The sequence below is a fragment of the Homo sapiens genome, chromosome 6 (genome assembly GCF_000001405.40).
Source record: "Homo sapiens chromosome 6, GRCh38.p14 Primary Assembly".
NCBI classification, from domain to species: Eukaryota; Metazoa; Chordata; class Mammalia; order Primates; family Hominidae; genus Homo; species Homo sapiens.
The window spans coordinates 5345913-5371384 of NC_000006.12; the positions used below are offsets into that span (position 1 = coordinate 5345913).

Genomic DNA, 25472 nt, shown 5'->3' on the forward strand with positions numbered 1-25472 from the left:
CAGACCTTATTTTTCAAATGCCTTGTCACCAGAAACCACGAGCCATTCTCATTAAAAGACTCTGGAGGAGTACTGGGGATGGTGGCAGGGCATGGCGGTGTGGGAGAGCAGGCCTGGAGCAGCAGTGCTCACTGGCCGGGGCGTCCTGTCCACCTCACCCTGACTATCAGGGACGTGCAGTCACCTAGAAGTCTCTTCCCTCGCAGGACCCAACTTTCTCATCCGTAAAGTCAAGATATTAAACCAGCTGATCTTTAATGTTCTTTCCTGAGTTCCATTTCTTTGGGCATATCATATGAAAAACCACTCTGCATATTATAATCAACCATTCTTGAAGAAGACATGAGTACGTTTTTATTCACTGAGGCCCATAGTACTTGGGTGAATAAAATTCATCATCACCTCCAGCGGTGATTTTCTGTGTATTTGGGTGTAATTGCATCATTGGAGTCATTAAAATTATTTTATATGAAGGGCCAGTTTATACAATAAATAAAGTAGAATTGCTGTGGTTTCCTCAGGGACTGAGCCCTATGTGCCTGTTTCACTTTCAGCCCCTGAGCATCCCCTGAGGTATCCATAGAGCCCCATGATTTGAAAATTTGACATTCAGGGTTAGATCCATGCTCCGGAGTGTAGCATTGTATTCTTGATCCAATCCTGTGCCTACTTTTCCCACCAACATTTTATTATGAAAAATTTCGAGCATACAGGAAAAGTTGAAAAAATTTTACAGTTAACCTTCGTATAGCCGCCACCTCGATTCTACGATTTACATATTACTGTACTTGCTTTATATTCACATATTCATCTGTCTATCCCTCTATCCTCCAACAATTCTTTTTTTTTTGATAGGTTTCAAATACGCTTCAGAATTCCTCCTAAATGTAGATAATGATAACTAATTAGCTGGAGTTCAACATTTATTTATAATTCTTTTTTTAGAGTAAAATTTCCATACAGTGAACTTCACGGACCTTAGTTATACCATTCATTAGGTTTTTTTTTTTTTTTTAATTGAGATGGAGCCTCGTTCTGTCACCCAGGCTGGATTGCAGTGTTACAATCTTGGCACACTGAAACCTCCGCCTTCCAGGTTCAAGTGATTCTCCTGCCTCAGCCTCCCGAGTAGCTGGGATTACAGTCACCCACCACCACACCTGGCTAATTTTTGTATTTTTAGTAGAGATGAGGTTTTGCCATGTTGGCCTGGCTGGTCTTGAACTCCTGACCTCAGGTGACCCTCCCACCTTGGCCCCCCGAAGTGTGGGGATTACAGGCGTGAGCCAGTGTGCCTGGCCCATTCATTAAGTTCTGACAAAAGTATGTATCTTTGCAATTTAAACTTTCTGTCAAGATGCTAATCATCCCCTTTACCCCAAAAAGTCCCCTCATGCCCCTTTCTGGTCAGTCTTCATTCACACCATCTAGAAGTCGGTATTGTTCTGATTTTTTTCCAACCAAAAAAGTTGTTTTATCTGTTATTACTTTCCATAAAGAGAGTCATATATATTCTTTGTGTCTGGTTTCCTTCACTTATCAAATGTTTTTGAGACCATTTGAGATTCATCCACGTTGTGTGTATAGTAGTTTGTGTGTGTGCGTGTGTGTGTGTAATCCATTTTATGAATATACCACTGTTTACCCTTCTGTTGATGGATATCTGGACTGCATCCATTTTGGGGCTGCTATGAATAAAGTTGCAGTGAATATACAACTCTTTTTCTTGTGAGTATTTTTTCTTGGTTAAATACCTAGGATTAGAATTGAATCATGCGGTAGGTGTACGTTTAGCTTTGTAAAACATTGCCGGCCATTTTTCTGAAGAGCTTGTACCATTTTACAACGTCACCAACAAATCAGAGTTCTGCGTGTTCCACATCTTCACCGACATTTGGTGTTTTCAGTCTTTTTAAATTTAGTTTTTCTACTGGAACAACAACAAGAACAATAATAATAATGATGGTGATAACTAATAGTGGTATTCCACTGGCTTTTATTTGCATTTCTCTGCTGACTAATGATGTCAACCACTTTTTCATGTGTTTATCAGCTTTTTTGTATCTTCTCTGGTGAAGTGTTTGTTCAAATCTTTTATTGATTTGTTTTTAACTGAGCTGTTTGTCTTTTGATTGTTGAGTTGTAGGAATTCTTCATATATCCAGCTGTCAGTTTGTGTCATATTCTTTGCCGGTCTTTGGCTTCCCTGTTCATTTTCCCAAAGATGTCTTTTGAGAAATGTAAGATTTTAGTTTTCAAAAAAATCCATTCTCTCAATATTTTCTTTCACGATTACTGCTTTCTGTATTCTAAGAAACCTTTGTCCACTCCAAGGTATGAAAGCATTCTCATATATTTTATTGTACAAGCTGCACATTTGGTCACTAGTCTTTACATTTAGGTCTTTGCTGTATCTTGAATGGATGTATGTGTGTGCTGTGAGATAGGAGCTCTGCCTGCTTCTGGCCACTCCTTCAACACAATCTCTGCTGCTGTTACCCTGGCTTACTGGCCATTTCCCAAATGTATATACACTCATGTCTGTGTACTTGTATGTTGTGTTACTTCCTTACTTATTTATTTATTTATTTTATTTATTTTTTTGAGACAGAGTTTCAAGTATATAGTACTAAATAAAACATAAGTAATCTGTGCCACCGTGGTTCTTGTTATGTAGTAAGGATAGACATTAAACAAATAAACACAAATGCTCTTCTATGAATATCTGGTGAAGTTCTTTTTATCCTTTAAAACTTGTCTTTACGGTATTTGGAGACAAATAAATATAATCTACCATTATCAGCAGGCTAAAGAAGAAAAATCATATTATATCAATTGATACAGAAAAAGCACTTGGAAAAATTCAATACTCATACAAATAAAAACTCTCAACAAACTAGGGATAAGAGGCAAACTTTTTCAACTTGATAACATTTATAAAAATCCTAAGTTAACCTCATATTTAATGGTGAAAGACTGAATGCTTTCCCTCTAAGATTGGGAAAACAACAAAGATGTCTGCTTTTACCAGTCTTGACATCATACTAGAAGTTCTAGCCACTGCAATAAGGCAAGGAAAATAAAAGACATTCAGATTAGAAAGGAAGAAAGAAAACTATGTCTATTTGCAAATGATATAATTGTCTACATAGAAAATCCAAAGTAATCTATCAAAAATAAAACATAACACCCTCCTAAAACTAATAAGTGAGTTCTGCAAGGTTTCAGGATATAAGATCAACACATGAAAATCCATGAGATTTCTTTACATTAGCAATGAATATGTGGAAACCAAAATTCCAAACAGAATATCATTTGTAATCACTCTCAAGGAAATGAAATACTTAGGTATAAATTTAACAAAACATATTGGATCTGTATGTTGAAGATTACAAAAACCTGATTTTTGCAAAAGCATCTAAATAAATGGAGAGACACGTTGTGCTCACAGGTTGGAAAACTCAACATACTGAAGATGATAGTTTTCCCTAATTGACTTGTAGGTTTAATTCAATTCATATGAAAATATCAGCAAAGTTTTTTTTTCTTACAAACATCCTCGATGATACAGTTAAAATGATTAAACTTACTAACTTTCAACCCTTGAGTACTTTTTAGAAATGTATATAAATATTTCAGTAATCTTTGTATTTTACACCCTTGCTCTTTTACTAATGTCTTCAATTAGCCTGGTACATTTGATGCAATTAAGGAACCACTATTGTTACATTATTAACGAAATCCACACTTCATTCAGATTTTCTCGTTTTTTACCTAATACCCTTTTTCCATTCCAGGATACTACATTACATTTAGTCAGTAATCTTTTCCGGGCTGTGACTGTTTCTTATACTCTCCTTGTTTCTGGTGACTTTGACAATTTAAAGAAGTACCTGTCAGGTGTTTAGTAGAATGTCTGTCAGTTGGATCTTTCTGATGTTTTTCTCATTTTTAGACTGGAGTTATATGTTTTTTTTTTTTTTGGAAGGATCACAATTGTAAAGGGCCATTATTTTCATCACAGCGTATCATGGGTCCATTACTATCAACAAAACTTATTACTGTAGATGTTGACTTTGATCACCTGGCAGTGTAGTGTTTGTCAGATTTCTCCATTGTACAGTTATTCTTCCCCCACCCCTTTCTTTACTTTCCCCACCTTTTCTTTACTATTCCCTTTGGAATCAGCAAGGTTTGTTCGTTCGTTCTTTCTTTCTTGCCTGGGACTACATGGTGTGCACCACCATGCCTGGCAAATTTTTTTTTTTTTTTTTTTGTAGAGTTGGGGTCTCACTATGTTGCCCAGGCTGATCTCAAACTCCTGGTCTCAAGCATTCCTCCTGCCTCAGCCTCCCAAAGTGCTGGGGTTATAGGCATGAGCTACTGTGCCCAGCCCCAGCAAGATTTTTTTATACACAAGCTGTTTTTCAGTTTTGTTTGGAAAGACATTGTTTCTAGAATAACTAAAATTTTAAAAGAGGTTAGTCAGTAGGATCACTTTAACTGATGTTCCTATCTGCTATAGCGATAGTAACGAAGGCACTGTGGCATTTGCGAAAGGTTAGACACAGAGATCAGTGGAACAGAATAGGGAATCCAGAAGTAGATCCCCATAAATATGCCCAGTTTATTTTCGACAAAAGCCTGAAAGCAATTCAGTGGAGGAAGGCTACCTGCTTCAGGAAATGGTCCTGGAACATTTGGACATCCCTAGGAAAACACTGTACTTTGACCTAAACCTCACACTTTGTGTAAAAATTAGCCCAAAATGAATCATGTATATATATCAATACCATTGATAATTGTGTCAATGTCCTGGTTGTGATATTGTACTTTAGTGTTGCCAGATGTTATCATGGGGAGAAATTGGGTAAAGAGTCCATGGAATTGCTCTGTATTATTTAATTACAACTGCAGGTTAATCTATAGTTATGTTCAAATGAAAAGTTTCATTAAAATAATCCCCTTCAAAGCTAATTCCTCTGGAGAGCTGGGGTTTCTTCTAGCTTGTTGTATATTTGCTCATTTAGTCATTTACATACTCATCATTTAGTAAGTTGTTACTTTCTGCCAAATTCACTGATAGGTTCTGAAAATTCAAAAAGTGAGCACATGTCTAGATATAAATATTTGAGATTCAGAGCCATATGGGTGGTAGGATATTACCTCAGTAAGAATGTATAATTTCAGAGAGCATCAAGGCTATACTTGTTTCTCTGTATTGCATTTATTCCACAGAGCTGTCTCCACCAGCCTGTGAACTGGAGCATAGGGCCATTATTTGTTCATCTTCAGATACCAGCTACCTGCTTTTGTAGCTGATATATATAAGCCATTTTATGCAAATATGTTGAATGATTGATTTAATGCATGAATACTTGCTTTTACTTTTTATGAGAGCAGTGAGCCATATGACCAAACAAAGGGACTGGACAGGGAGATATAAAACTAATTTTTCTTTGTTTATAGATTGCAGGAACATATCTTTTCACAGTTCTATGACAACTGGACCTGAAATTTAGCAAGCCCAGGAAAATCAGTCTCCAAAACACGTATTTGTGATATATTTCTTGTAATAGCTTATGGAAGATTTTCAGCTGTTCTTTGATAGAATATTGACAGAGATTAACTGATCCCCCCCACAACAAACTACATTTCTTATTTTCCTCGATTACAGAAGTTCAGTGCATAAAAGCAGGGTGGGGGAAATCAGATGGATTGCCATAATCTCATAAGCCACTGTTAATTCCTTTATGAGCTCTTCTGGTATTTTTTTATAGCATAAGACACACCTACGTACATACAAAATAAAGATGATATCATGAGATGTGAGTAATTTTTAGCTGTTTTATCTGTATTGTGACCATTGCGCAATGTGAAAATACAATCTCAATTCACACATCACTGCACCATACTTTATTGCAGAAGCCCCTTAGTGTTGGACAGTCAAGTTGTTTCTAATTAGGAATAGTAACTGTTTCTTGTTCTGCCGTATTGTGTTAGGGGCAGTACACTTTTGCTATCTCTATAAAAAGATGCCACCATGTCTACCAGAGTAAACCTCTGGAAATAGAGATTTGAAAACAGCTTATCTCCGCCCTTCATTTATATCAGGCTTGTTCAGCCCGTGGCCTGTAGGCAGCCTGTGGCCCAGGATGGCTTTCAATGTGGCTCAACACAAATTCATAAACTTCCTTAAAACATTGAGGTTTTTTTTTTGTGATTTTTTTTTTTTAATTTTTAGTTCATCTGCTATCATTAGTGTTAGTGTATTTTATGTGTGGCCAAAGACAATTCTTCTGATGTGGCCCAAGGAAGCCAAAAGATTGGACACTCCTGATTTATATGATAGGTGATCGACTGTCATAATATTCTTTGAAGTTCACTTTGATTTCTGGGAGGGAGCCTTAAAAAAAAAAAAGCTTCCCAACCAGAAGATGAGCATTGATTTTTTTCTGAAATCTTAAACTCTAACTTGAAGTACGTCATGCCCACTCTGCTCAGGTGTGTGGCTTGTCACTATGTCAGTGCCTCATGCTGGTGCTTTCTTTGTGTGAAGGGAGATGCAGTGGGTGGGTCAGTAGAGAGCAGTAGGTGAGCAGGAAGGGAGAACGGAAGGCCTGAGGCTTTGTCCTCAGTTACCTCCAGTCAGCACTGCCTCTGCAGAGAAGACCAGCTCTGGGCCTTGGTTTCCTCATCTAGTAAATGCCCTCTGGTTGATCTAACTCATCTCTCAGTTTCCGCTAACTATAAATTTTACATTTCTTTTGAGATGTAAATACTTGCTCGACTAGCCTTGAGAGCTTTCCATCCTTCTGTCCTCCCTTCCTCCTTCCCTTCCTCCCTTCTTCCTGTATTAATTTTTATTTTTATTTTAACTGACACATAATCGTACATATGTACGGGGTACAGTGAGATGCCTTGATACATATACATTGTGTAATGATCAAATCAGGGTATTTAGCATTTCTGTCATCTCACACATTCATTTGTTCTTTGTAGTGAAAACCTTCAAAATCCCTTCTTCTAGATATTTTGAAATTATATCATACAATATTGTTAATGATAATCACCCTTCTGCACAGTAGCACACCAGAACTTATTTTTCCTGTCTGTGGCCCTGTACATGTTAACCAGTCTCTCCCAATCACACTTCCCTTCTACAGCCTATGCTATCCACTATTCTACTCTTTGCTTCTGTGAGATCACCTTCTTTAGCTCCCGCATGAGTGAGATCATGTGATTTTTGTCTTTCTGTGTCTTTCATTTCGTTTAACATAATGTGCTATAGATTCATCCATGTTGCTGTAAATGACAATTTAATTCTTTTTATGGCTGAATAGTATTTCATTGTGTATATATTCCACATTTTCCTTATTCACTTATCTGTTGATAGATACTTGAGTCGATTCCATTTTTTGGCTATTGTGAATAGTGCTGCAATAAACATGGGAGTGCAGATATATCTTTGACATACTGATTTCATTTCTTTTGGGTGCATACTCCATAGTGGGACTGCTGGATCATATAGAAGTCCTATTTTTAGTTTTTTGAGGAAGCTCCTTACTGTTTTCCATAGTGGCTGTATTAATTTGCATTCCCACCAACAGTGTATAAGGATTCCTCTTTCTCTGCATCCTTGCCAGGATTTATTTTTTGTAGCCATTCTAACCGGGGCAAGGTGATGTCTCATTGTGGTTTTGATTTGCATTTCCCTGATGATTTATGATGTTGAACAGTTTTTCATATATCTGTTGGCCATTTGTATGTCTCTTCAGATTTTTTTACCTGTTTTTAAATTGTAATATTTGGTGTTTTTTTTTTTTTTTTTTTTTTGCTATTGAGTTGTTTGAGCTTCTTAGATATTCTGAATATTAACCCCTTGTCAGATGTACAGTTTGCAGACATTTTTTTCTCATGCTGTAGGTATTCCAGAGAGCTGTCCTTTCTCAGGTGTGATAGTGACTGTGGCAGAACCAAAGCCCAAGGCAGAAGGACAAACCAGGCTTTTCATCTCCTGTTTGCTGCTTTTTTTTTTTTTTAAAAGTGATTTCTTGTAACAGTGGTCACAGACATATATTCTGGTCTAAGTGATAAAATCTTTTTTTTTTTCCTCCCAAATCTTACTATGTTAACATCTCCATCTCATCTAGAGATTAGTTTTCTCTCCATGTCATCCTCTGGAGCACAGCCCAGGACTGAGAATTCAAAGCCTCTAAAGATAAAACATGGCCATTTCAATCCTCTTACACTAAAACCAGACACCATATTCTCTAGGTCTTTACCCAATTTCATTGAAACTACTTAGCATTCAGTTCTCATGAGCTTAATTATTTTGCTTCCCAGATAGCTTACAACAGCATGAAAGCCTGAGACTCAGAGGGGATGGAGGAGCTGAGTACTATTATTATAATAACAGTAGAGGATCTGCTGACCAACGGAAATCAAAGGGGCAAAAATGAAAACACTAAAAATCTATGATTGCACAGAATGCAGATTTTCTTAAAGGATTACTATGGTCATTGATAAAAGCTTAGAATATGTTTATATCCTCTGTTTAATAGTACAGTAACATTTCAGTGGATTTCTATGCTAGTGGTTTCCTTTTTTTTTTTTTTTGAGATGGAGTCTCACTCTGTTGCCCAGGCTGGAGTGCAGTGGCACGATCTCTGCTCGCTGCAAGCTCCGCCTCCCAGGTTCATGCCATTCTCCTGCCTCAGCCTCCCGAGTAGCTGGGACTACAGGCGCCCGCCACCACGCCCAGCTAACTTTTTGTATTTTTAGTAGAGATGGGGTTTCACCATGTTAGCCAGGATGGTCTCGATCTCCTGACCTCGTGATCCACCTGCCTCGGCCTCCCAAAGTGCTGGGATTACAGGTGTGAGCCACCGCGCCCGGCCTATGCTAGTGGTTTTCAAGCCGTAGCTGGCATGAGAATCACCCTGAAGGGTTATTAAGGTACAGACTGATGTGCCCTGCCCCAGAGTTCCTATTTTTTGGGTCTAGGGTAGGGCTTGAGAATCTAACATCTTCTCTGGTGATGTCAATGTCACTGGTCTTGGGACTGTATTTTGAGAACTACTGTTGTATTCAAAATTATTTTAAATGTTATTTAAAATAAGTTTAAATTTCCTGGGAAACATAACTTGTGTGTAAAACGTAGTCCTTACTAAGTAATTATTTTTAAAATATTTTAATTTTGTATCCTACTTCCTGTAGCTCCCACCTCCTTTGGTGTGAATTGAGAGTCATGGGATTCTTTGCTTTTAAATAATTCTCTGTGTGATTCTTCCACCATGGGAGTCTGCCCTCGGTTTCCTCAATTTAGAGACTGTAAATATTTGTGATTTTTCCATTTTTGAATTTACTTCTTTCTATTTTCATATTTTTAATTTTATTTTGCTTCCCTTTTACTGTTTGAACCCAAAGGATAATTTTACTTTTTTTAGGTTTTCCTTTTTGTTTTTTTTTTTTTTTTGAGACAGTCTCACTCTGTCACCCAGGCGTGATCTCAACTCACTGCAACCTCTGCCTGCTGGGTTCAAGCAGTTCTCCTGCCTCAGCCTCCTGAGTAGCTAGGACTACAGGTGCGTGCCACCATGCCCGGCTAATTTTTTTGTAATTTTAGTAGAGATGGGGTTTCACCATGCTGGCCAGGCTGGTCTTGAACTCCTGACCTTGTGATCCGTACGCCTCGGCCTCCCAAAGTGCTGGGATTACAGGTGTGAGCCACCATGCCCAGCCTTTTTAGATTTATAATGCTGTTTTCTGAGCAGTGGTCATAATATTCACATACACACACACACACAGACACACATGCACACACACGGTATAACATGCAAAAGGTTAGAAAGTCGAATGGTAAAACATAAATTTCTTTCCCTGCTGTCTCCCAGCCACATCATTCTCTTCCTTGGAGACACCTACTATGATCAATTTCTTGATATACACTCAACCCAATATTATTCACGGATTCTGTACTTGTGAATTTGCCTGCTCTCTAAAATCTGTTTTTAACCTCAAAATAAGCACTTGAGGCGCTTTCATGGGCATTTACAGAGATGTGCACAACAGGGGGAATAAATCTGACTTGCCCGATGCGCATGTTCCCAGCTGAGGTTGAACACGGTGATGTTCTGCCTTGTTCAGCTCTCAAACTGTAAACAAGTGTCCTTTTCATGGTCTATGTAGTGTCACATTTCACGCCTTTCTGTGCTGTTTGTTGGTGATTTTGCTGTTTAAAAATGACGAGACGGCTAGGCGCTGTGGCTTACGCCTATAATTGTAGCACTTTGGGAGGCCGAGGTGGGCGGATCACTTGAGGCCAGGAGTTCGAGACCAGCCTGGCCAACATGGTGAGACCTCATCTCTACTAAGGATGCAAAAAATCAGCTGGGTGTGGTGGTGCACGCCTGTAATCCCAGCTACTCGGGAGACTGAGGCACAAGAATCACTTGAATCTGGGAGGCAGAGGGTTGCAGTGAGCTGAGATGGCACCATTGCACTCCAGCTTGGGTGACAGAGCGAGACTCTGTCAAATGATAGGTAGATAGATGATAGATAGATAGATTAGATAGATTAGACAGATAGACCTGACCAAAGTGCTGTATAGTGTCTCTAAGTGCAAGAAGGCTGTGATGTGCCTTACAGAGAAAACATGTATGTTAAGAGCTTCATTTAGGTATGAGTGATAGTGCTATTGGCTGTGAGTGCAATGTTCATGAGTCAATAATATGTATTAAATATTTTTAAACAGAAACACACATAAGACAATATTATATACTGATTATTTGACAAAAATGTGACCAGAGGCTCGCAGGAAACCAACTGTATATTTCCCCTCGGAGCAGCGCTTCACTGTTTGCTAATTTAGCGGTCATAGCAACTTTATAGACTATACTGCAGATAAGAAGAACGGACGGCATATGTATTATTTCTTATATGCTTTGCAATTTCAACTAAATGATTTTGTGTATTGCTAATCCTTACAACAGACCTACAAAGGTTATAGAGAAGTGGAGGGCTATTTTTTTTTTTTTTTAAACGGGAATTTTAGCAGAGAGCACAGTATGATGGGGCTGTTTGGGGTTAATGGAACTCCGATATGTAGGCCTGAATTCCACTCTTCTAGCAATCTTGCCACTATGTTCAGGATATGACTTACCATGCATAGAACAGCCTACTCTGAATTATAAAATAAAAAGTTGTTTGATGTCCATCTTTTCGAAGGACTTCCTAAATGAACTTCAGTGCTGTGCTTTAGTTTTTCAACTACTTTGTCACTAGATCCATTATGGGGAGAAAATGGAGCTTTGGAAATATCACTGTGAGTTAAATAAATGGTATCTTTTCTTAGCTAAACAGTGATTTGGAAATGTATAACATAAATGTTCATAATGGGTTTACTCCATTTGATTTGGAAAAACATTCCTTTTAAGGATAGACATATTGTCCAAAACATTGTCTGAAGCAACTTGAGGACATACTGTCCCTGACCTCAAGTTGCTTAAGATCTGACAGATGGACTAGCATCCTAACTAGTAAGTTTAGTGAGTGTTTTATGTGCCATGAGTGAAGTGTGTACAGAAGACAATTGGGAAGAGAGAAGAGATGGCTCAGTTCTCCCCGAGGAGAGCATATAGGATAAGTTATGGTTTGCATAGAGGTAAAACATCTCTGGAATTATAGATCATGTCAATGGGAAGATGTGTTTTGACTTAAAAAGAAATTTTATCAAGAACTTACTAGGACTACATCTATTGAAAAATGCAAGGTAGGCTAATATTCATTAGGAGAGGGCAGGCAATGGAAATAGCAGGGGTGGACTGGAACCAGGTAGGAGTCAGGTGAACCTGGTTTGAATCCTGGTGCTGCCACTTAAGTACTTTTGGTCATTTGGCATGATTTTCACAGATTAATGTTTGTCTTTCATAGTGGTGTTATGAGGATTAAAAGAAAAGAGTAATGAAGAAACGGCTTCATAGAGAAGATGATGCTCCTTTACCATTTGTAGGTAGAGAAATATTTCAGGCTGTTAGACTCTACTTACTAATTGTGAGTGTAAAGACTGACAAAACCTTTGTGTAATTGCTGCACTACAGTCAAGAGCCAGGAGTTTATATGCAGTGACTTCATTTAGAGAATCTTATAAATAATCAATTTATTTAGAATATTCAGGAGAACAGGATTTTTAACCTGGAGGCTATTTCTTCTGTAGCACAGTAATGTTTTTAATTGCTTAAAATAGTTTTTAATATGTGGTTTAGAGAGTTGATTTAAAAAAATTTTTAATTTTACTTGCCATAACTATTCTGCTTGCTAAATTGTTTGTGGGGGAAAACTTGATTCTTTTTCATTAGCTGAATATTTTTAGTTTAAAAACTGTTATATATATATGTACATAGTAAGATTATTATAAAATTCTTTTAAATGCTGAATATTATGGATAATTAATTATGCCAACATTCCCCAAATATGGAATATGTAGAGCTATAGTTTAGTTAATACCATTTGTTAAAAACAAAAATAAATGATTTTGTTGAGATGCTTAAAAACATGAAGGATGATTTTGATATTTTTGTGTAAGAGAGAGAGAGAAAGCCAGAGTATGTATTGTGCTTTTTCCATTTATTGAGAGGATTTTTTTCCCTGATATGTTTTGGAAAGCATTGGTACAAATGGATATTGGTAATGTGAACTTAATTTTAACTGAATATATTTTTGAAAGTTAAAAAAGCAAAAGAATGATTGGGAATCACTACAATTCCAAATACGGTGATATCTTTAGACACTTCAGATTAATTTTGCAGTGTCTTTGGTCTGTAGTCATTCTCTTATGTATTCATTTAATTACAGATTTTAACCTTTTGACTTAGGACAGCAAAACGGATTTCTTTTGGAACTAAGTACTATGATTTGTGTCTAAAAAAAAACTTCTAAAAGTTATATTTTTCTATTTGTTTTTGTGTTTGTCACAAGATATGTTTCTCATGGGTATAGAAGTTTCCAGTGTGACAGAACACTTTCAAATCTCTCATTCTTGAATATATGGCATTTATTAGCAAAGAATAGTATTGATAGTCATTTCTCAATCGAATTATAGTGATGAAAAGATACCCTTTTTTTTTTTTTTTTTTTTTTTTTTTGATATGGAGGCTTGCTCTGTCACCCAGGCTGGAGTGCAGTGGTGCAATCTCGGTTCACTGCAACCTCCGCCTCCCGGGTTCAAGCTATTCTCCCGCCTCAGCCTCCCCAGTAGCTGGAATTACAGGTGTGTGCAACTGTGCCTGGCTAATTTTTGTATTTTTAGTACCGGCGGGGTTTCGCCATGTTGGCCAGGCCATTCCCAAACTCCTGACCTCAGGGTGATCCGCCCACCTCGGCCTCCCAAAGTGCTGGCATTACAGGCATGAGGCATTGCTCCCGGCCAAGATATCTCTTCTTAATGGGGAAGATGGCATGGTATATTGAGATAATAATTGTTTTAGAATTGCTTCCCTCACTACTTTTCCCCCCATTAGACTTATTTTTTTAAAAAGACATTGTCTGCACAAAAGGTAGCTATTACAAAAGAAGACTGAAGTGTCAAAGGATTTCTTGGGCTCTCTGATCCATATGCCCTGGCACTGTCTCTCATAAGGCTTGCCCTCTTCATGCAGTTGCCAAGTGCTTGTATAATTGTCTTGACAAATGGCATACTCATTAATATTGTGTTGGGCCTTTGCCAACCTGTGGAAGCCATGTGCCCCGGGCAGTGAAATCCAGTGCCAAACTCTTACTGATGGTTATAAACCATGCCTTAAATACGTTGTTGAGACCAATGATAGATAAGTAAATAGCCATTTGACCTAAAAATACTTACATTTATCCATGGAAGCCAAGAGCATTTGTGAATGGTAAGGGGCTGCTGGGGTTCTGAGCTGTAGACACTCTCATGTGCCGGAGCTGCAGCTTCCTGCCTTGAGGGCTCGTCTTTTGTCACTTACTTGCTCCAGAATCAATCAGAAAAACATACCCTGATGAACCACCACAGAAAAGAGGTTATTCACTTCTTCAAGGCTGTTAAAGTGCCTAGTCTAGAAGCAACGTCATTGTATCAGGGCCTGCAATCAGTTCTAGAAATTAGGTACACCAAATTCTCTAAAAATTAATAATTGAGTCTAAATGGATGAAACTCAGGAAAAGGGTGTGAGATGCTCTCGGTACAACTGTATATTAACATTTTCTCCCAGGCATTTCATGTTACTTCAAATTAACGATTTCAAAATGCACTGTTCATTTGTCCTTGTATTGGTTGAATGGTACTATGCAACTTGTTTTTTCTTGAGCTCACTAGAAACAATTGTAGCAGTGTGGTAAGGGAGCCATTCATTCATTTTTTTCATTCATTCATTCATGGAAGAAGCAGTTTCTTTGGGCACTTACTTCCTGTGCCTGACCATCTTATAGAAACAATCAAATGAATGGCTCCTGCCCTCAAAGTCTTATTTTCTAGTGGGAGAGGTATACATGTCTACAGGTAATTACTGCCTGGGTCATTTGGCATGAAAAATGTATTTCTATTTTAAACATCCAGCTTATTTATATTGATTTCAACAAAGCTAATGGGAGATAGGTTTGCCCGGTGCAGAGTTAGTTCCAGAATTTGTAGACCCAGCATATTCTGTTCTTCTGTGCATCCAAGCTGGCTTCCTGGTGATCTTATTATTTGCGTATTACACAAAGTCCCTGTAAGAATAACCCCCAAGTATTCTCCAAGGTAGATATCTAGATAATGTGTGACCTTGTCCCTGATAATTGATTTCATTTGCCCATGAACTTTAAAAAATTTTATCCTCCCTCTCAGAAAGAAGGTCTGGATAGGATAACCAGGATCAGGAGCTGAGCTTGTACAGTTTAAAATTTATGATGTTATGTTAGTAGAAGGAGAATGTTCTGAATTTAGAAAAATTGATGTCAGTATTCAAGACATTTTTAGTGAAACAGAGAAGATCAGGCTAGAGAATGCTTATATTACCTGAACCAAAGAAGCCACAGAAACTAAGCACAGTTGAAACTTGGCGAGATAGGACAATGGTTTTAAAGTTTAATTTAAAATATAATGAATGTCTATTTAGAATATTTGGAAATATAAATACATAAAATAGAAAATAAGCACCAGGGATAAATTGCTATGAAATCTTTTGGCTAGTTCTTCTCATGGTTTCTAAATATGATATGCATGTGTTTATAGGTAGGTGTATATTTATAGAGTTAAGATCATATCGTACATACAATTTTATATCCTGTTTATCACTTTATGTAGTTGTATCATTCAAACTCGTTGCAACCATTATATTTAATGACTGCATAATATTTTATTGTATGGTCTCCCATAATTTGCTTAATCATTCCCTTGTTGTGGGACATTTATGTGGTGTATAATTTTTTTTCTGTTATAAATAATACTGTAATGAAACTTCTTTGTGTTTAACTTCTGTCTTCATTTACATTATTTCCTTGTGATAGATTCCCAGAAGGGTAATTACCCTGTCAAAGGGTATGAACAGTTTTAAGTCTCTTGATAGTGCTGAATTGCTTTCTAGAAAGGTTGCGCCAATGACACCCTCACGAGTAATGCAGGAAACTGCCTGCTTATAGCCCTTCTCTTTTTGTTCATACTAGTCAGCAGGAGCAAAAGCATTCTCTTGACTTGGCTTTGTATCAGTAGAAGTTAATGGAAGTTGGCCATTTTCCCACCATTGTTTAGTAGAATAAAATGTATAACTGTGTTGACTGAACCAAGCTTCATTTTTTCTTGATAGAAATTGTGTGAGTATTGCATCTGGTGGTTATGGATTGTGCTTGAACACTTTTGTCTAGTGGTGACCATATATGGGTTATGCCTGCTCACCATTGGCTATTTCCCTGAAGCTAATTATGCTTTAGGGAAATGATCAGTCCAGTACAGTTTGTGTACTACTTAATGTTTTCTTTACACAGAAGAATGAGGGAGGTTGAAAGGACTGTTGAAATGATTATAAAACTCATTCATTCTAACAACAAACATTTATTCAGTATTTTACTAGTTGTTGTCATTGTGCCAAAGAATGCTTACAGCATTCTGAATGTGTCCAAAATGAAAAACAAGCAAAATAATCCAAATGTGATCCATGACCATGTAACAGATGCTTCAGATACCTTTCGAAATGTTACTTCTTAGAGCAGTCTTGTAGAGAAGTGGACTTGACCACCATGCCCACTGTTTGGACATTCCAGGCAGCTGTATTCCAATAGTAATGATAGAAATAATAATAATAATGATAATTGCTGCCATTTATTGAGTACCTGTTATATTCCTTCAAGATACTGTGCTGTTTTTTACCTTCATTGTTGTTTAATACTCTTATTACCAATGCAAGGTATATGTTATTTTCACGTTGAGAAATATAGGGAAAGTAAGATTCAGAGAGAGAGCGAGAGTTCTCCTAGTTCATCCTTGTCACAAATCACAGGATTTACTTCTGTCTAAAGGCTGAATAATATTCTATTGTATACATACATCACATTTTCTTTATACACTCATCTGTTGATGGACATTTAGGTGGATCCCATATCTTGGCCATTGTGAATAATGCTGCAGTGAACAAGGGGGTGCAGATGTCTCTTTGACATGCTGATTTCATTTCCTGTGTTATATACACAGAAGTGGGATTGCTGGATCATATGTTAATAGTTCTATTTTTAAATTTTTTTGAACCTCCATACTATTTCCCATAATGGTTATACTCCTCTAAATTCCCACCAACAGTGTACAGTGGTTCCTTTTTCTCCACATCCTCACCAACACTTACCTTTTCTTTTTGGTAATAGCGGTTCTAACAGGTGTAAAGTGTATCTATCTCATTGTGCTTTTGATTTGCATTTCTCTGATGACTAGTGATTTTGAGGATTTTTTTTCACATACCTATTGACCATTTATATGTCTTCTTTTCAGAAATCTTTATTCAGATCCTTTGCCCATTTTTCTTTCTTTCTTTTTTTTTTTTTTTTTGACATGGAGTCTCACTCTGTCGCCCAGGCTGGAGTGCAGTGGCGCGATCTCGGCCCACTGCAAGCTCTGCCTCCTGGGTTCACACCATTCTCCTGCCTCAGCCTCCCAAGTAGCTGGGACTACAGGTGCCCGCCACCATGCTTGGCTAATTTTTTATATTTTTAGTAGAGATGGGGTTTCACCGTGTTAGCCAGGATGGTCTCGTTCTCCTGCCCTCATGCTCCACCCACCTCGGCCTCCCAAAGTGCTGGGATTACAGGCATGAGCCACCTCGCCCAGCCCCTTTGCCCATTTTTAAGTTATTTGCTTTCTTGCTGTTGAGTTGCGTGAGTTCCTTATGTATTTTGGACATTAGCTTTTTCCCAGATACATGGCTTGTAAATACTTTTTCCCATTCTGTGAGTTGTCTCTTCACTCTATTGAGTTTTTAAATAGTTCTTTACTGCCCCTTCCAAAGAGGCAGCCTTCTTTGTTTTGTTTTTGCTGACCAATTTCCTTCCATTCTTTTCTTTTTCTTCCTATTTCTCTTCTTCCCGCGTCTTCCACCCAGCATCACATGTAGTGCTAGATTATGGGCATACGATGATAAATATAAGAGAGAGAGGAGAGAAAGAGTATGTGTATATATATGTGTTTGTGTGTTCTACTCTCAAGAACCACACAGGCTAGTAGGAATACAGACAACAGCAGGTAGTAATAATACGGCATGCTAAACATTGCACATTGAGTGGTATTTGGGTCCAGGAAACAGGCCCGTTTCCTTCTAGATGTCTTTTCCCCTGACTTCTGTGCTGTGGCACCCTTTACGTCCCCTCTGTCTTACTCCTTACATCCCCTTCCCTTAAATATGATAAGTTCCAAGTATTCTTCTATCTTTTGCCCACTTATATCTTGCTCTTAGCCTCCCATGGATTCTTATATACGCTTGTGATATTAACTCTTACGTCTATGCAAATTACCTCCAAGGTCTACATTTCCAGGATTAATGTCTTACCTCATTTCCAAACTATAATATAACTCGAATTGCCTTACAGAAATTGTAATGTGGCTATCTCATTCATACTGAACTTCCATTGTCCAAATCTGTTTCCCTCTACAAAAGATGATCTGAACAAACAACAAAAATCCATTCTGAGTTCTCTGTGTCAGTGAATGACTTTATTAGTTCATCCGTTACCCGATCTCTAGAAATCTCTGGGTCACTTTTAACCCTGAATTCAGCTCATCTTACCCGTTACACACTGGGCAATGAGTTAATTAGCTGATGAACATGATCTAGTATAATCTTTTCATTATGAGATAAGTATTATATTTCTCTGTTTTACAGATGAGAACCTTGAGGCCAGAAGGGTCAAATAACGTTTCTAAGGATGATACATGGCACCTAAGAGATCAACCTAGGATCAAACCAACATTAGTATCTCTGCGAAGTCTGGCCTATTGCCCATTATATTGTATTTTCTCTTCTTATAGTTGGTCTGATTGTTTCTTTTGTACCAGTGCTAACATACTTCACGTCCACATTTGTATTCTTGCTCCTTTTTTGTGACTTTATAATCTACATATATTTGTGACTAGGAAGATTTTATTAATAGTGTAGAAAAATTTTTCAGTAGGTTAAGCTAAAACAGGGCTCAGCAAACTCTATAACAGACCAGAGAGTGAGTATTTAGGCTTTGTGAGCAACACAATCTCTATAGCAGCTATTCAATCTTACCTTGATAGCAAGAAAGCCATGGCAAATGATAAATCAAGAAATGGCTGTTGCTGTGTTCCAACAAACTTTATTTGTAAAAACAGACTATGGGCAAGGCACGATGGCTTAAGCCTGTAATCCCAGCACTTTGGGAGGCTGAGGTGGGCAGCTCACTTGAGGCAGGAGTTTGAGACCAGCCTGGGCAATGTGGCGAAACCTCATCTCTACAAAAAATACAAAAGCTAGCCGGGCATAGTGGCTTGCACCTGTAGTCCTAGCTATCTCTGGGGCAGGGAGCCACTGGAGCCTGAGACAGGAGGATCACTTGAGTCTGGGAGGTTGATGCTCCAGTAAGCCATGATCATCCCACTGCACTCCAGCCTGGGTGACAGAGTAAGACCCTGTCTCAGAAACAAAAAAAAGCCAAAGCCAAAAAAAAAAACCCCAAACAGACTACTGTGGGCAGATTTGGCCCTTGGGTCTGTAAATACTTATTTCATTTTTACTATCTAAGCTAATGTGTTTTATTGGATTTACTTATTCATGCATTTATTTATGTATTTAAAAACACATTGATGTATAATCTCAATTAGATAAAATAGAAGTTAAGGGAGGTCCTTGCAGAGATACCATTTGAACTTAACAATCTTGGACCTTTGATTGAGAAGTATACTTTCTTTTTTTTTTTTTTTTTTTTTTTTTTTTTAGTGAGGCAGAGTCTCACTCTGTCACCCAAGCTGGAGTGCAGTGGTGCAATCCTGGCTTACTGAAGCCTGAACTCCTGGGTTCATGCAGTCCTCCTGCCTTAGCTCCCCAGTAGCTGGGACTGCAGGTGTGTGCCACCATACCCGGCTAATTTATTAAATAAAATTTTTTTTTTTTTTTTTTTTTTGTAGAGATAGGGTCTTGTCATGTTGCCCAGGCTGCTCTCAAACTCCTGGGCCCAAGTGATCCTTTCGCCTTGGCCTTCCAGAGTGTTAGGATCATAGGCGTGAGCCACCACACCCTACTGAGAAATGCACTTGACCCCTGGACAACTGATTACCCTCCCTCAGTCAGTTGAAAATTCCTGTATACCTTTTGACTTCCCCTAACTTAACTATTAATTGTTAACTGGAGGCTTTACTGATAACATAAACAATTGATTAACACATATTTTGTATGTTATAGGCATTATATACTGTATTACAATAAACTAGAGAAAAGAAAATGTTATTAAGAAAATCATGAGGAAAGAAAATGTATTTACTATTTATTAAGTGGAAGTAGATCATCCTAAAGATCTTTATTCTTATCTTCATGTTGAGTAGGCTGAAGAGGAAGAGGAGGGGTTGGTCTTGCCTTCTCAGGGGTGGCAGAGGTAGAAGAGATAGGGGAGGCGGAAGGGGAGGCAGGAAGGGCAGGCACACTCAGTGTAACTGTTACTGAAAAGAATCTGCATGTAAGTGGATCTGCACAGTTCAATCCATGTTGTTTGAGGGTCAGCTATATTTGAATTGCCAAGAATTCTGAACTGTCTCATGGCTAGCTAGGCATATGAATTTATGCTAGTTACGTGATCTTTTTGAGCTTTATATTCTTTGTTGGTAAAGTGGTACGAACAATACTTACATCACAGAACTGTTGAAGGGATGAAATGGAAGAACAATGTATTAATAGAAGTATGAATGTCGTTGGTCTTATCCTCCTGGGTCTCTTATGTATTTCCAGATGATATATTTCTTATAGAGAAATTCGATAGAGGTAGAAGGAAAGGAAGTCACTTCTCAGATAGAAGTGGGAAGGCTCTCCTAGTCATCCATCTCTCTCTGTTAGAGATAGTAACAGAAAGGACAGATACTTTTCTGTGTGGGGTGAATGACAGTGGAGAATGTAAGCAGGGCTGAGCAGATAGATAGAAGGCCTGAAAACCAGGGCAAGAACCTCAAACTTTCATCGGCAAGCTGGGGGTTGCGTGAGGAGAGCAAGGAAGGGACACGAGGCTGGGGCACATCCCTGGGAATGGAACCCAAGTGTGGGTTTGGATGTGTGAAGAGCTGGAAACTGGGAAGGAAAAGCATCGACAGCAGCCCACAAATAACTGGATCAGAAGCACCTTTCCGAGAACAATTCTGAACTTTGTCTAACACATATGCCTTTGGGAGGAAGAAAGCTTTTCTTGTGTTTTGGCAAGGGTGCTGAGCTAGGTAGCTAATAACCTAACAGTTTGATTTTGTGCCAAGATGTGTAAGGCTGCATATGCATGTTTAAAATTCATATCCACTGCAGTGACAAGTCACTGAACACTAGATGGGAAGACATTTCAGTTGAAGCTCAGCCAAAAGCCCTTTTGAAACAACTCTGACAAAATAACGCCATAAGTGAATAAAACCAGAGAGTTCCTGGGTATCTTTGAAAATGTCTCCCATGATGACAGTCTCAGACAAAGGTGCTGTGCACAGCTTCTAAGAAGCAATCACACACAAGCACAGCCATTCAACTTGCAGCTAGATTTCCTCAGTTCCAATTTGGAGTCAGGTGGATTGTGTTGTCCAGGGACAGACTGTGCTTTTGATAGTGACTTGGAACAATATAATTCTTTGCTAATGCAGCTTCATATCATGAAGTTACATATTTTCTTGGTATGATTGCACGGCCCTTGAAGTAAAACAGCCACATAGTTGTATGCTTTAAAATAGCCCGGTAGGGAAGAATTCCACATTTTAGAAGATGGATTTTTATAATTTAAGTTTGTGAATGTAAATTATTTGTGAACAATGGGATGTGACATCTCAAGACTCTCCTTATTGGGATCCCTGAGTGAGTTTAAAACTGGCTTCTGTGGCAGTGGGAAGAAGACACTGTGTGAGTGGTTCACAGCCCTTTGCGGTTGTCTTATTGAACTCTTTCAATACCTTAGAGTTTTGCCAGTTATACTTAGGTCCTTCTCACCTCATCCGTGACTTGAACCGCCTATACTAGATGACAGCTGAGGTGACTTTCAGCTGTAAAGTTTGGCATTTTATTTACTTAAAAATCTAGGTCAGTGCTCTGCCTTCTGGCTGCTCTGTCACTCTTCCCCAACAAGTTTAGTCCTGTTTCTGGTTAATTGTGGGTGTGTAGTAGAAATTTGCCCTTTTGCCAAAGGTGTAATTGAGAGGATGCCACAAAGGTATTAAGTTTAAGTGACATGACCAGATGTGAGAAGATTTGCATTTACAGCTGTCCATTGATATAGTCTATCACTTTGTACAATATTTCCTGAGATTTTCTATTTTATCTTTAAAATATTAAAGTTAACCACAATCTAAAGTGGTGTATTTTGTTTAAAACTTTTTAAAAAAATTAGTAATGTCACTTTGTGATCTAGTGAAGTAATACAGAAGTTATGCTATGTCAAAGATAAAGAGAACTCTGTAGTTATGAGGATGGTCGGCAGAAATGTGAAGGATGGCTCTTAAATCTCTTCTCTTCCACTCTCCTTCGGAAGCCTCTGTCTAATCATTTGCTTCCTTTATTAGTGGGACCCTTAATAGGGTCCAATTAAGTTCTGTATTTTAGGGGATCTCTCTGAAGTTTTTTGGTTCTATAATGTAAAGGTTGTCGTGTTTACAGTTTTTTTCCACATCACGAGTTCAGGACATGATAACATAATAAACGAGGTTTTCTACAAAGCCAAGGATCTGAATGACAAAGGAAGGACAACTAGAGATTAGGGATATAAAAGTGACTTCCAGGAATCTTTTCATTTAGTGTATTAAGTATCACATGTCTGTCAGATTTCTTTAATTGGCTCTTTCAGCTGTGTGGAGGTCGTAGTGGGGGAAACATGCCAGTAGGACAAGAGGGAGCTGGTGGGAGATGCAAAGAACACACTTGCTTTCCACAGAGTGACACCTGACTTGTGCTTTGCCTGTGTGCTCTTTCCAGAACCTGTGAGAAGTTTCTACAATGGTGGGCTCAGCTCTCAGGAGAGGTGCCCATGCATATGTCTACCTGGTGAGTAAGGCCAGTCACATCTCCAGAGGCCATCAGCACCAGGCCTGGGGATCGAGGCCTCCTGCAGCAGAGTGTGCCACCCAAAGAGCTCCAGGCAGTGTGGTGGAGCTGCTGGGCAAATCCTACCCTCAGGACGACCACAGCAACCTCACCCGGAAGGTCCTCACCAGAGTTGGCAGGAACCTGCACAACCAGCAGCATCACCCTCTGTGGCTGATCAAGGAGAGGGTGAAGGAGCACTTCTACAAGCAGTATGTGGGCCGCTTTGGGACCCCGTTGTTCTCGGTCTACGACAACCTTTCTCCAGTGGTCACGACCTGGCAGAACTTTGACAGCCTGCTCATCCCAGCTGATCACCCCAGCAGGAAGAAGGGGGACAACTATTACCTGAATCGGACTCACATGCTGAGAGCGCACACGTCTGCACACCAGTGGGACTTGCTGCACGCGGGACTGGATGCCTTCCTGGTGGTGGGTGATGTCTACAGGCGTGACCAGATCGACTCCCAGCACTACCCTATTTTCCACCAGCTGGAGGCCGTGCGGCTCTTCTCCAAGCATGAGGTGAGTCTTGAGATGTTTCTCATCGCTGAAGGATGTCATAGACATTTTATGTTGAGGTCACTAACATTTAGCTCGATGAGACCAGCATAGTCATCCTTGCTTGCCTTATTTTGCCTTAGTGAATCATCCATACTTAATGACATCTTGTGTATAGGTGTGCCCCAGTACTTTTTGACCGCTTTGTTGTGTTAGTAACTACAGAAATTGGTAAGCCTTAGTTTCCAGTTGTCTGTCCTTATCCTTTCTCTCAATACTGACCCGCCATTCTCTGGGTTACTTCTTATGAATGGAGAATAGTCTGTGGCTCAAATTCACCTTTAATCCAGGATGGCTGAAGGTGCAACATGGAAACCTGTGGTCAGGTCATTCTTAATTCTGTTAGGAGAAGTAAATTATATTTTCTTGCTGTTAGAGAGAAATGAATTTCTTAGGTACCTTAGGGGCCTGATGATTTATTGGCTTGGGCTGTAAACTGTGTCTTGTCCCCAGGCACTTTCCTCACCCTCCCTGGCTTTGCATGTTGCTGTGAGATGTCTTAATTGCTGTGGGATGTCTTAATTGCTGCTATTCTTGAAGCATGTGTTAGGATGATGCATGGAGCCTTTTCCCAACTCCTTGCGTCTGTTAGATGTTATCCTAATATGTTGTGTGCATCTGTTAGATGTTATCCTAATACGTTGTGTGCATCTTTTTTTGTTGTTTTTTTTTTTGCAAATTCTGAAATCCCTAAAAGCTTGATTCCATTTCCTAAAAACTTGCCATACCACTTGTCCCTCACTCATGTTTTAAAAACCATCTCTGTTTTTATATAAGAAACAAATGCGTTAAACTAAGCACAGGGTGTATTTCATTTTACTTCCTTAGCAATGTCCCTTCCAGACATGTTCACTGGAACAGGAGGAATTATTATCGTCACAAAACTCTCTCCTGCCAACGTAAGCTAAATGAGTTATTAATATGAAAACAAATAGTATAGCATCCTTAGGCCAATAGGTAACCATTGTTCTGTTGTATTCTATAAGTCCTATAGCAGGAGATAACTGAACAGGACTGCCCTCCCCTTCTCTCCTTTTTCTTTCTGTTTACCTCTGGATGTGCTGTTCTTTTGCGACTCTGTGATAATACAGTAATAGCTTAGCCTTACACAAAAAGGCCATCCGTGCTGGATCTCGGGGGATCTCAAATGAGCATTCTCACTACTTGGAATAGCTGACTATTTTCCAAGTTAGGAAAAATAATGATTAATAAGGATATAGATTTATTAGGGAACTAATATGAGATGAATAAAGACAGGTCAAAATCTGGGAAATATGACCAAGTGATAGAATGTCATTTAAAATTAATGTACAAGAGGAGCTGTGATGCCAGTAATATGACGTCCAGGTCACAGTAGCAGACAGGTGCTCAGCCCAGCTTACCTCATTAAAGAAATAAGAAAGGACTGTGTGCTCTGATTTGTAAGCCTGCATGCCATGAAAGAGGCAATGAAGGCTGCCAGGCACTTCTAGCATTTTAATGGAGGGAAAATCAAGGCTGCCACAGAAGATGGGAAATAGGAAGTGGATAGGAAATTAGCCTTCACCTTGTTTCATATTTGTTTTGGGTCCAGTCCAATTTGGTAGTTAGTACAAATTACTAATCTAAACTGATGATGCTACTATATATTCTGCGTATAGTTAAAAAATTATGCTCATGTGTATGTATGTATCTAATCTTCTTATATAAGGTGCATCTGTGTTCATTGCTTCGTTTACTCCTCTTAATAAAAACCTCGCAAGGTAGATCATTTTGACTTCAGCCATGAGGAATGAGGTCCCGAAAGGTTTAGTGACTTACCCAAAGTTGCTGAAGCAGTTAGTAACATGCCTAGAACTGGAACTCAGCTCTTCTGAATTCATTGCCTGTTTTTCTGTATTCTGCTTTTTTTCATGACACTCCTTTCTACGTGGGACCTGCTTATGACCCAAAGGGGAGTTTTGGTTCCAAGAATGCTATGGAGAGTGGAGTCAGAAGATTGTGGTGTTTTCTGAATTCCTAACCTCAACTAAAGTGTTGGTACTAACTCTGACCTAATCTTAACTCTAAACAAAATGTTTTTTCGTCTTTCAGTTTATTCCCCTATGAATAGGATTTTTAGAGTTGTAATAATGTTACAGAGACAATTTTAAACATTTTATTATTATCTTTTAAGGTATTTTTGTT

At 38.7% G+C, this 25472-nt stretch overlaps 1 protein-coding gene across 23 annotated transcripts in view, besides 3 other annotated features; it reads left to right on the plus strand.

Annotated features, from left to right (window-relative positions):
* Positions 1 to 25472, plus strand: part of FARS2 (phenylalanyl-tRNA synthetase 2, mitochondrial) — a 521650-nt gene that overhangs the window by 95979 nt on the left and 400199 nt on the right. For 21 of the 23 annotated variants that reach the window (XR_007059197.1, XR_007059196.1, XR_926027.4 and 18 more), the window contains one exon: positions 22638 to 23270. The exons of the other annotated variants lie outside the window; for them this stretch is intronic. Coding sequence is in view for 16 of the 21 variants with exons in the window: in XM_047418086.1 (XP_047274042.1) it covers positions 22659 to 23270 (612 nt within the window). In the remaining 5 variants the exon portion in view is untranslated. The remainder of the gene's footprint in view (positions 1 to 22637; positions 23271 to 25472) is intronic. 23 annotated transcript variants of the gene reach the window in all.
* Positions 22264 to 22787: an enhancer, noted in NCBI's record as "H3K4me1 hESC enhancer chr6:5368409-5368932 (GRCh37/hg19 assembly coordinates)". NCBI's record gives its function as "activates a minimal SCP1, AML or CMV promoter by ChIP-STARR-seq in naive H9 embryonic stem cells {active_cell/tissue: H9 hESC(naive)}" and the evidence as "EXISTENCE:reporter gene assay evidence [ECO:0000049][PMID:30033119]".
* Positions 22264 to 23799: a biological region, named in NCBI's record as "CDK7 strongly-dependent group 2 enhancer GRCh37_chr6:5368745-5369944".
* Positions 22600 to 23799: an enhancer, noted in NCBI's record as "CDK7 strongly-dependent group 2 enhancer chr6:5368745-5369944 (GRCh37/hg19 assembly coordinates)". NCBI's record gives its function as "activates an origin of replication core promoter dependent on BRD2, BRD4, P300/CBP, MED14 and CDK7 cofactors, with strong dependence on CDK7, by STARR-seq in HCT116 cells {active_cell/tissue: HCT116}" and the evidence as "EXISTENCE:reporter gene assay evidence [ECO:0000049][PMID:35650434]".